The 12,226-nt window shown below is 45.8% G+C and overlaps 1 protein-coding gene across 19 annotated transcripts in view; it reads right to left on the bottom strand.

Moving 5' to 3' along the window:
* LGR6 (leucine rich repeat containing G protein-coupled receptor 6) overlaps positions 1 to 12,226 on the bottom strand; it is a 125,963-nt gene that overhangs the window by 20,893 nt on the left and 92,844 nt on the right. For 18 of the 19 annotated variants that reach the window (NM_001017403.2, XM_047426928.1, XM_047426929.1 and 15 more), the window contains one exon: positions 1,293 to 1,361. In NM_001017403.2, coding sequence (NP_001017403.1) covers positions 1,293 to 1,361 — 69 coding nt within the window. Of the gene's footprint in view, positions 1 to 184; positions 220 to 1,292; positions 1,362 to 12,226 lie in introns of those variants that run through there. The other variant, XM_011509844.3, reaches the window with a different exon arrangement.

Raw genomic sequence — 12,226 nt, 5'->3', positions numbered from 1 at the left:
ATAGGTCTCAGGTGGTGGGGGTGGTTTGAGCTATAAAGATACTAAGCTGGCCGGGCGCAGTGGCTCACACCTGTAATCCCAGCACTTTTGGGAGGCTAAGGCAGGCCGATCACGAAGTCAAGAGATAGAGACCATCCTGGCCAACATGGTGAAACCCCGTCTCTACTAAGAATACAAAAATTACCTGGGCATGGTGGTGCGTGCCTGTAGTCCCAGCAACTCGGGAGGCTGAGGCAGGAGAATCGCTTGAACCTGTGAGGTGGAGGTTGCAGTGAGCCGAGATCGTGCCACTGCACTCCAGCATGGCGACAGAGTGAGACTCCGTCTCAAAAAAAAAAAAAATAGATACTAAGCTGCCTGAAAATTTGGGGCTCTGTTTATGAGTCTCCAGGACTCTTAATCTGGTCCCACTCTAGCTGTACGATAGAGCTCTTATTGTTTCCTGAGAGCTTCCCTCCAGTAAAGCTGCTTCCCACCTGTGCTCATCCCTCTGCCAGCTCAACTTCCTACCTGGGTCTTTACCTACAATTTCTTCCTCTGAAATGCCTCTCCCCTTCCCCACCACTGTCGCCTCAATCCCGGTCATCCCTTAAGGCTCATCTCAGGATTTGTCCACAATGATCTTTCCACATTACTCTGGACTCCCACCGCTGTTTTAGCTAATACTCTGCAAGTTATGGTTGGAGTTATATACCATTTTGTCCTGCTCCCTGTTTTACCTATGTTACTTTGTGTCTTCAATGAGGCTGAAGGATGCTTGGGGAGGGCCATGTCAATCTGACCCTTTGTTTGTGTTTATCACTAAACACAGTGCAGGGTACATTGGGTGCTCAGCGAATGCTGAAATAAAATAATAAATGGTGGCTTTGGGGAACCAGAGACAACTTCTCAGTACCCCTGGGGACAAGGTGCTGAGGAGTGATCCTATAAACCAGTTCTCAGTTCCTTTCCTCATTCTTCTCTGGACACATCCCAACCAAGGCAAGGGCAGTGCCAGGCCCAGGCTAATAGTAGGTGGCTTGTGCCATGGGTTTTCCCAGGCTGGAAGGCCCCAGGGCCATTTCTGCTATTGACACACCCCCAGGAAGTGCCCGAAACCAAGCTAATGAGGCCTGGGACTACTTAGAGCTGCATTGGGGCTTGGGGAGCCGGGGCGGGAGGGTGGGGGACAGCTACATCTTTTATAAGGACCATGGGAGGTGAGGAGGTAAGAGCATGAGGCAGCTCAGGCTGGCTTCAGCCCCTGCCCTTGGGACAGAAGGACACCCACAGAAACCAAAAGAGGCGCTTACAGTTCCTGCAGTCTGCCCAGGGTCCGGATGGCCACAGGGAACTCCTGCAGCTTGTTATAATTCAGGTCTCTGGAACAGAAAGCAGAGCAGTCATTAGGGCAAAGGCTTAATGGGGCATGTCAGGGTCCCTGAGAAATGGAAACTTGGCTCTGGGCTTGGCCAGGGAGATGGGTTTTCCAATCTGTTGGATCCAGCGGCCAATGTCTGGAAACACATTTTGGAATGTTCATGCTCCAATCCTATTCCACAAATCCTCAGGCGTGGAATCTTCCTGGCTGCAGAACTGTTCTGAGGGGGGAGACATACTTCAGGGGTGCAGATACCTGGAACCATCTCCCTCAGAATAGACCCTGCCAACTGAAGAAAGCATCTCAAGCCTTTGGAGACATCAGAGGAGTGGAGGAAGGGGGGAAGTGGGTGATCGTTAACATCTTATAACCAGCACTAGGGATTCCAGAAGGTTCCTCAGGTGACCACTGTGGTCTCCATCCGTGGTCTTTGCTGTTATCCTCTATAGAAATGGGGAGTGTTTCTTCTCTTGGGGTGAAGGCACAACAGCTATTTTCTCTTACACTTTTCTGTACTTTCCAATTTTTTTTTTTGCAATGAGCATATATCACATGTATAATCAGAAAATTATAAAGGTAATTTTTAAAAGGGGTAGCAACCCAAGTTGGCAAGAATGTGGGAAAACAAGCATCCTGATAAATTATTAGTGGGAATTTAAATGTGTACAACCCTTTAGAAACTATTTGATAACATCTTTTCAAATTAAAAGATTCATACCCAGGCACTCCAAGTCTAGGAATGTGTAAGGATAAGCATAAGGATGCTCAGAACAGCACTGCTTAGGCACCAGGGGCAAAATATTGACCCATAAGTGACCACAGCTTCACTCCATCAACTCTTTTAAGGAAACTTCTGTGTCCGTGCCTTTTGTGGAGATGACAGGGCAAGAGAAGCAAGAGAAATGGAAGAGGCCGAGGGCAACTTTTATTTTCATCAGAAAAGATTTAGAATTGCCTGTGACAAATAGAAAAGAGCCCCAAAGGCAGGGGAGCCCCGGGGAAAGAGGTGAGCATTGGAGTTTTGAGGGAGATAGTACAGAGTGACTGGGAAGTAGAGAGTAAGAACTACAGGGTACTTCTAGAAAGTTGTACTCCCTGTTACGTAATGAGATCGCCTATCATCGAAGAGCTTCCAAAATTTTAAAGTTGGCTTTCATTTTACTCAGTAGTCAACGACTTAGCCTCATGTGGAAATGTGACTGATTTGGGGGTGTCTTAATGCCTCTTGGATCCTGTTTCTGGGGTCCTGGGGTTTGGCAATAGGTTGGGGGAAGACTTAGTTACAGCATCCCTCCCTAGCCTCCCAGGATGACCCCAGCCCACCTTCTCAGCCTTTTAAAGCCACCCCTGCCCTGACAACCTTCATGGTTGTCCATCCAAGCCAGGGCAGGGGGACCACATGGAGGCCCTTCAATTACAGAGTGACTTGGCAGGGTTTTGTGGATAAATACCATGTTAACATGGAGATAATGACAGGCTCCTCTGCGTGACAGGGTCATTACACTTAATAGTCCACAGGTAGAGCCAGGAACCCAGCCCAAGGGCCAGAGGGGCAGTGACAAGCATCTGGCAGCCAGTGAGCCAGATAATTGTCACACACACACACACACACACACACACACACACACACACACACACTAATTACCCAATTACCCTCAGACTGCCCTGGTGATCTTGGGTAATTACAGTAGAAAATCCCTTCTGCTTTGCTTCTCTCTGCTCCGTTCTCTAGTGAGTCAGATACCTTTGCCTCTCATGCGTCAAACCTTGTTGATTTGCTCACAGAGAGGCTCCCACAGGCTGTGTGAAGGATGTGGTCAGGCGGAGGCCAGGATGTGTGCAAAGCACTTTGACTAAAACCAGAGGTACTGGAGTTGGAAACAGGGAGGAATTTTCAAACTGTGGAGTTCCTGGAGTTCTACCAGGGGCTACAGAAAATGCCTAGAAAACCAGACTGGGAGAATTGAGGATGGCAGCAGGGATGAAAGCAATGGCCTCTCTTTTTGGTCTTAAATTGTATACATGATTCATTCTCATATCTCAGGTTCCAAAAGCAGGTGTTCCCCTTCATCTTGGCTCAGCTCAATCAGGAATTCTCCATTGTTGCAAGAGAACTAGATTTCCCATAAATGACATGGAAGTATCTTTATTGAAAAGTCTTTTTTTTTTTTTTTTTTTTTTGAGATGGAGTCTTGCTCTGTCGCCTGGGCTGGAGTGCAGTGGCGTGATCTCGGCTCACTGCAACCTCTGCCTCCCAGGTTCGAGCGATTCTCCTGCCTCAGCCTCCTGAGTAGCTGGGATTACAGGCGTGTGCCACCACAGTGGACTAATATTTGTATTTTTAGTAGAGATGGGGTTTCACCATGTTGCTCAGGCTGGTCTCAAACTCCTGACCTCAGGTGATCTGCCCACCTCGGCCACCCAAAGTGCTGGGATTACAGGCATGAGCCACCGTGCCCAGCTGAAAAGTCTTAATATTGCATTATTATCTCAAACGCAAAGTATTGCATTGATCTGGCTTCAGAGACTTTGCTTGCTATTCCATAGGCCTAGCATGCTCTTCCCCAAATACTTCTATGGTTTACTCACTTCATTCAGGTCTCTGCCCAAATTATACCTCATCAGAGAGCCCTTCTCTGACTACTCTATCTAAAATAGCATATCCTCTCATTTGCTATTCCCTTATCCAGTGTGGTAGATTAAAAGTGATCACAAATCCTTTGCAGCTTCTCCTCTCAAGATGTGACATCTACCTTGGGCTGGGATGGCCTTGTGACTGGCATGGTCCAACAGAATGAAATGGAAGTGATATAGTGTGACTTGGTCCCTAATCACATGAGGCCTCACAGCCTCTGCCTTTGCTTTCTTGGAATGCTCCCACCACTATGTAAGAAATTCCAGACTAGACTCTTGAATGATGAGGGCCATGTGGATACAGAAGACCAGCCGACAACCAATACCAAGGGCCCAGACATATGAGTGGCCTCCCTAGACCTCCTAGACCTAGTTGAGCGTCCAGATGACTACAACCTCATGAATGAGCCCAGGGGATGGCTCCAGCAGAAGAACCAACCTGATGAGCCAGGAAAGCCATAATTCATGAAGAATAATAAAGTGATATTTTAAGCCACTAAATTTTGGGGTGATTTGTTATGTAGCAATATAGAATGAGACAGCTTCCGTTCTTTCTTCACAGAACTTAGTCACCTGACATATATTTGTTTATTTTCTTCTCACCCAATTAGAATGAAAGCTTCTTGAAAATAGAAACATTGTTTCATATTCTAAACACCAGAACAATCCTGGCGCATAGCAGGAGCTCAACAAATACTTGATAGATGAAGCAATGAAGACATCTAAATAAATTGATTAATGAAAACACTAATGGACTCTTAAGAGAATCTACAGTATTTGGGGGAACGTCCTTAAGATTTTGAGGTTGATGTTGCAAAAGGCACAAGATAGTCCTGAGTGGCTTGCCTGGGGCCACAGAGACCATGGGATGGTTTCATGTGACTTTGCTATCATTGAGTCCTTATACAGTTCATTGGACCCATGTCCAGGCAATCCATTGAGTAGTTCCAGCCCTCCTTGGCAGTTTCTGGTCAGGAATTTTGCAGGAGTGGCCTAACAGACAGTAGCAAAAGACATATGGTAAAAGGCATGTGAACTACAAGTCTATTTTTGTCGAGAAATGGGAAAGAATAAAAACTGTGCAAAGGTCAAAGAGAATGCTGCAAACTCCATGCCAATGAGGTGGCCGGAGTTTTCCCATTTGGACGTCTACACAGATTTTATGACCTGGGAAATTGCCAAAGTCCTGCTTCATATAGTACCATGTAGATGTAATCTGTGGCTCTAATTGTCCAGGGAACATGTCTTTGCAACTCTCTCCGCTCCTGATGGATTCAACTCAGTGCAATGAACATTTGTTGCCTCCTTGCAATACACAAAGAATTCTGCTGGGTAAAGTGGAAGGTAGAGAGATGGGTTTAAAAAAAAAAACCCACTCCTATCTAGACAAATGCACAAGATAATGAAAGAGCATCTTTGACATGACTGTGGAGAGCACACGAAGCATCAGGACCTTCACAGACTGCAGTGATCACACAGAGCTGGAAAGACCATGAGGGCTTCATGGAAATGTGACATGTGTCATAGAACAGCAAGATTTCAATATGAAGGGATGAATGGATCAAGAAGAGAGAGCATGACTTAGAGGAAGTGAGTGCTGTGGAGTCGTGTTTGGAAAAGAGCAAGCAATATCGCTTGGTTGGAGCAAAGGGCAATACTTGGAGGTAATTCTAGGGGGCTGTCTCCTCTGGACTGCTATACACTTCTTATCTGCTGTCCCTGCCTCCAAGTCATCCATATGATAACATTGGTTGAGCACTGTCTGTGTGCCAGCCACTAAGTGTTTTGACTGAATAATCTCTTAATCCTCCCAACAGCCTCAAGAGGCAGTTACTGCTATTATACCCATTTGACAGTTGAGGAAAGCGAGGCACAGAGAGATTAAATTAGTCACTCATATCACACAACTGATACCTGGCTGTGGCAGAGTCTACTGTCTGTAAGTAAAAATCTACTCTCTCTTTTCTCCATAGCTGCACTGACCAATACAATAGCCACTAGGCATGTGTGGCTATTTAAATTAACTACAAATAAATAAAATGTAAGATTTGGCTCTCAGTTTCACTAGCCACACTTCAAGTGCTCAGTAGCAACATGTGGCAAGCAACTATCATATAAGAACAGATGCAGAACATTTCCGTCAACCCAGAAAGTTCTACTGGGCAGTGCTGGCTTATCATAATAGGAAGAATGCCAGGAATGGAGCAAGAGTGGACTTCTCAGCCTCCTTCACAGTAGGTGTGTCAGAAGTGGTGCATACTGTATCTAGTCCAGGATTTATAAAATAGACAACTTGTCTCCTCACTGGTCTCTCTACCCTTCCACCAGCTACAGGCCAAAAACAATGAGGCCCTGGAGGTGGCAAGCTCCCAAGAAGCCAGATCCCTGAGTCATCACATGGATGAGGCCACCTGCCAAGAAGACACACTCTCCTTAGACTGTTACATGATCCAGAAATAAACTTCTATTGTGTTTGTGCCATTATACATGTTTCAGTCTATATGTCACAGCCATTTAGCCTACCTGAACTAATTCGGTGTCACAGCCAGGATTTGAACCCTGGCAGTGTGAGTCTGAAGCCCACACTCTTAGCTACTACACATCTGCCGGAAAGATCTTTTTAAAATGCAAAACTGAGTCTGTCACTCTCCTGTTGAAAAATCTGGAAAGGCTTCCAGAACAAGGGCTTACAGACAAAATCCAAATCCCTTAATGGGCTCCGATGCCCTTAACTAATCCCTCAGTTTCATCTGCCATTTCAGCCCTTAATGGGTTGTGCCATTTTCACACCCTTGTGTAGTTACTTGCGCCCCTCATGCCCTCAGCCTGAAATACCCTTTCCCCACATCCTCAGCTGTTAAAATCCTAGTCATCCTTTGAAGTCCGGTCCAACTATACCTTTCTCCCTCAATCCAACCCAATCCCTGTAGTCAGAATGATTCACTCACTCTCTTGGAACTTTTCTGGGATTTTCGTCCTCTGCATGCATAGCATTACAATGGTAATAATAGAGGATAATAGTAATTACTATGTAATAGTCATGGTTCTAGTGATTTGCATATATTAATTCATTTAATTGCCATGCCAACCCTTTGAGGTAGGTACCATAATGGCCTCCATTTTGGAGATGAGAAACTGAGGCACAGAGGGAGATAATCACTTGACCACAGTTCCACAGCTAGTATTAGAAGGGCGGGGATTGAAGTCCAGGCAATCTGAGTCCAGAGTTGGGTTTTCTGCATGCATATTGTCTCCCCAATGAGACAGGAAGCTTGCTGAGGTTGGGAAGCATATGGGTTCACTTTTGGATCTCCCACAGCACAGGCACAAGGCCACATATGTGAATGTTCATTGTTGTAGATGATCATTTGAGTCCACTGTGCAGGGTCTCAAGATGGGGGCTCCTTTGGCCTTGGTAGCTGGCTGCTTCATGGCAGTGTCTTGGCCTTTGGGATTAGACTCTAACATGCAGACCAGGCTCAGTGTGTATCTTTCATTGCAGGATGGCTTATGATGCCCTAAACTTCAGCAGGAAAACTCATCCATGGCTTAATAGACTATTATCTTTAACAGCCCACAATCAGCCAGAAGCCCAGGAAGAGTTCATTGTTCTGTCTCCTGCTCCCGGGAGCTAGAAGCAGAGGGGGAAGGACTGAAGTTAAAGAGAAACCACTTCCAACTCCAGCCAGAGCTCAGTCTGGAAGCTGCAGCTGTCCATAGCTAAGACACCCCTTCATCTGCTCAACTGTTTCTAGCCAAATCTAATCAAAACAAATGGCAAATCCATGCAATCGGTAAAAGTAGCTGAGAAGGCAACCCCAGCCCTAAGCTGTTCAAGGACCCACATGCCTAATTTTCTCTTTTCCATCAGGCTGTGCAGAAATGGCCAACTTCAGAGATCTCTGAGGAGCCTCCCTGTAGATTCAGCTGTAGATTCAGACAACAGAGCTGGCAGGATTTTACAGTCATCCTGTCCAGTCCCTTCTTTTGCTTTTTATTTTTTATTTTTTGAGACAGAGTTTTGCTCCTGTTGCCCAGGCTGGAGGGCAATGGCGCGATCTCAGCTCACTACAACCTCCACCTCCTGGGTTCAAGTGATTCTCCTGCCTCAGCCTCCCAAGCAGCTGGGATTACAGGCATGCACCACCACACCCTTGTATTTTTAGTAGAGATGGGGTTTCTCCATGTTGGTCAGGCTGGTCTTGAACTCCTGACCTCAGGCGATCCGCCCACCTCAGCCTCCCAAAGTGCTGGGATTACAGGCGTGAGCCACCGCGCCTGGCCCCCCTTTTTTTTATTGATGAGGAAATGAGCTTGGAGAGAGGAGGTAAATTGCTGCAAGTCCCAGAGCCAGGACTCAAACTCAGGCCTCTTGGCTCCTGGTTTAAAACACTTTCCTATATTCTACACAGAGTTGGATCCTGGCTAGGCTCTAAATAGCAGGGCTAACAAAAAAATTTTAGGGAGAGAGGATAAATGGACGTGGAGGATTGGGCTTCTGCAGGAGTTTCTTTTGATGCTTATAAGCATGTCAAAGCCAAATAATTATGATTTGGAAGTTAGATGTCTTTTTGTATGTTATCTGTGTTAGAGAGAGTTCTTGCCTTCTGTGCACCAACAGGATCATCTTGAACAAATCTCTTAATTTTCTTAGCTCATTTCTTCACCTGTAAATGGGACATACCCATTGCATAAGATTGCTCTGTTCACCTGGTCCAGAGACTAGCACAGAGTAGATGTTCAAATAATGCCAATTCCTTTGACCTCTTCCTTTTACTAGACATAAGCTACTAGAACAGACACTTTCATTCTTTAGATACTACAAAAGTCAGCATGCAAGTTGGCCCATCCCCTTTTCATAGCAATTAAGAAAGATGAATATCATTAATTGGGTTTCCACTTACATTTTTATTCTCAAGGCTAACATTTGTGTTTATTACTGGATCACAGATAAGGGTACATGAGGGAATATGGGTGAGCCTAGCTCCCCAGTGTGAAATGCAAAACACAGAAATTTTGGAGAGATTGTAAACTCTGAATTGCCTTTTATCTCCCAAAGGCCTGGAACAAAGGCAAGCTAGCACAATGAATACATGTCTTAATTGCTTTTCTCATACTGCAGACAGAGCCTCTGTCCTAAATATGACTCCACGTGCTTGGGGCAGATGACTGGGTGAGCCAGGAACCAACCAAAACTTTAAAACTAATAGTATTGTTTTACCTTCTAAACAATCTACATAAAAGGCCACCCATTAATAAATGCAGCAATGAGTAAAGCTGTCATTAGCTTCCATTGAGAGACACAGATACAACCTCCCTCCTTCCACCTACGTTCTCTTTCTTGCCAGAGAGAAAATTCAGAATCTACCTGAAGCAATAGCAGTGCTGATTTTAATGAAAATGACTGATCTCTGAGATTGAGATTACTTGTTGCCCTGCCCTAATGAAGCACCTGGAACCACAGAAACCTAGAATTAGAAGGGTGGTAAAAAGTAATAGTCCAACCTGCCCCCAAAGAGGAATCATCTCTGAGATTCCGGCCCAATTGGGGATCCAGTTTGTACTAGAACTATCTAAAGGGCAAGGCACTCACTGACATGCTGGGTGTCTGGTGCTGTCACTGTTGGGCCACTCTGCAGATTACGTAATCCTTCCTTACTGTCAGCTGGAGTGCCCGTCTTCACTTCCCTGCTTGGCCCTCATCCTGTCAGCTGGAAGAGCATAAAATGTAATCTGCCTTCCAAAGATGATCATTGTACTCTATCCAAGGCTTGTCTTCAGTTCTTTGAATCACATTTTGTGACACTTCATACTCTCACCACCCTCCCCAGGAGAGCCTTTGCCACGCTTAAGATATGGCACCCAGAACAGGATCCATCAGACCTCTGGATGCAATCAGACCTCTGGATGCAATCAGACCTCTGTAGGCAACATCCCTCTCACCTGGATGTTTGGGGCCCGTTAATGCAGGCGACCTGAAGGCTCTGAGGTGTTCCTGACCACAGCAGAATGTGGCCCGATAATCTTTCCCAGAGACTTGGACCTGTTGGTCAAAAGCTGGGGTCTTGCAGTTCTGAACAACTGGCTTATGGGAAGGTGACCTGGACCAAAGGGAGGGCCAAGGGACCATCCTCGTGGGTTCAGTCCATATCCAGGCCATTTCTCCAAGACAGCATGGGACACCTGTGCCAGCTCCTGGGCTGTGATAGGACTGACTAGAGGACACTTACATCTAGGGCGCAGAGGAGAGGTCTGGGCTAGAGACTGCATATCTCGGAGTATAGATGTGACTGCAGCTGGGAACAACCTTAGATGTTAGACGGTCCAATGCCTCCCAGTACAGATGGGGAAACTGAAGCCCAGAGAGGATAAAGATTTGCCAGGAGCCATAAATCTATTTGTTGAAATATTTGTTCACCAAACATTTATTGAGTACCTTCCCTGTGCCTGGCACTGGGTCAAGTGCTGCAAAGACAAAAGTGAACAAAACTCATGGAGCGGTAAGGGGCAGGCAATTAAGTGAGTAAATACATTATTAGGATATCAGATTGCGGTGCATGCTATGGAAAAAAATTAAGTAGAAAATGGAGAGTGCTGGGAATGGAGGTTGCAAAGTGGTGACCAGGGAGGATACTTAAAAGGTGACATTTGAGCAAAGTCCTGGAGGAGGTGAGGAAGTAAACCATGTGGATAATGGTGGAAAGAACATTCCAGACAAAAGGAAAAGGCTTGATGCAGGAACAAAAGTAGTATATTCAAGGAGGCCATCGTGCCTGGACTAGATTGAGGAGGGGGTGACACCAGAGAGGCGGCAAGGGGCCACAGCATCTGAGGCCTTGTAGACCAGTACAGAATGTTGGCTTTTTTTTTTCTGGAGTATGATGAGGAATCACTGGAGGGTTTGGAACAGAAAAGTAACATGACCTGATTTGTATATTAAAATAGTCATTCTGGTTGTTGTGTTGAAAACAGATTGTAGGATGACAAGAATGAAAGCAGAGTGACCAGATAGAAGGCCACTGCAATAACCCAGGTGAGAGAAGGATGGCGGCTTGGAGCATCGTGGTAGCAGTGGAAGGGGTGAGACGTGGTCAGATTCTTAATATAGTTGGAAGATGGGGCCAATGGAGTTTGCTGACAGCTTGGATGTGGGATGTGAGAGAAAGAGAGTTGTTTTGGATGACTCCAAGGTTTGGGCCTGAGTAACTGCAGGAGTAAAGCTGCCATCACTGAGCTGGGGAAGACTTCTGGTGGGATGGGTTCAGGGAAAGACTCCGGGGTTTAGTCTGGAAGTCTGGATATTTGTTAGATATCCAGTGAGCATGTTAAGAAGGCCTTTGAATATTTAAGTCTGGAGTTCAGGAGATAGGTCTGGGCTGGAGTAATCAGCAAACATACAAGACCAGATGAGAACATGGAGGGAGAGAAGCGTAAACAGAACTTGAGCCTTGGGAGAACTTGAGCCTTGGGACATGCCAAGGTTAAGGGGTTAGGGTGATGAGGTCAGAAATGCTGGTAACAGTGCATTCATGTTAAGTTTAAAAGAACTCAGGACTTCTGATCTAGAACCCTTTAGTCTCTGTGATAGCAGGGACTACACTTTGTTGTTCATAAATGTTTTACCAGTGCCTATAATGGTGGCCTGGCATATACTAAAAACTTAATAAATATTTATGGAATGAGTGAATATAAAGAAACAGAAGAAAAGAGAGTGGTAATCTTTAATTCTTACCAGCTCCTCCTTCCTACAGATATGGGAGGGCCAGACCTGAACTTTGTTTCCTCTCCATTACATCTACTACGGAACCTGTGGGCCAAGCTTCCCACCCCCCTTAACCTCTCTTCCTCTCCATTCCAGACCAGCTGGCTGGGGTGCCTGGAGCAGTCGGCAGAGGGGGTAGAGTTCACAGTGGAAGTTTTGTCCCCATTGCCAGCAGGGGAGGGAGAGGCAGCAATGACAGGAGCAGTGACCTTGGCTACCCCCCACACCAGGGCAATGGGAAAAGGAATGTTGTGCTGGGAAGAACTATTAATAACTCGTCACGGTCACAGAACGCAACACAAACTCATTGGGCAGCTCAATTTTCTGCCTGTTTAAAGTGATTAGTGGTTCTGCGGGGGAAGCCAGAAAAAAAAATTTTTATATGGAGCAATAAATTCCTCTATAAGCCACAAAACCCTACAAATTTGCAGCTAATAAACCCACAAATGTAAGATGATTAAGAACTGGCA

The sequence above is a fragment of the Homo sapiens genome, chromosome 1, assembly GCF_000001405.40.
Source record: "Homo sapiens chromosome 1, GRCh38.p14 Primary Assembly".
Taxonomy (NCBI): Eukaryota; Metazoa; Chordata; class Mammalia; order Primates; family Hominidae; genus Homo; species Homo sapiens.
The sequence above is the reverse complement of the archived record's forward strand: the minus strand, read 5'-3'. Positions and strand labels throughout refer to the sequence as shown.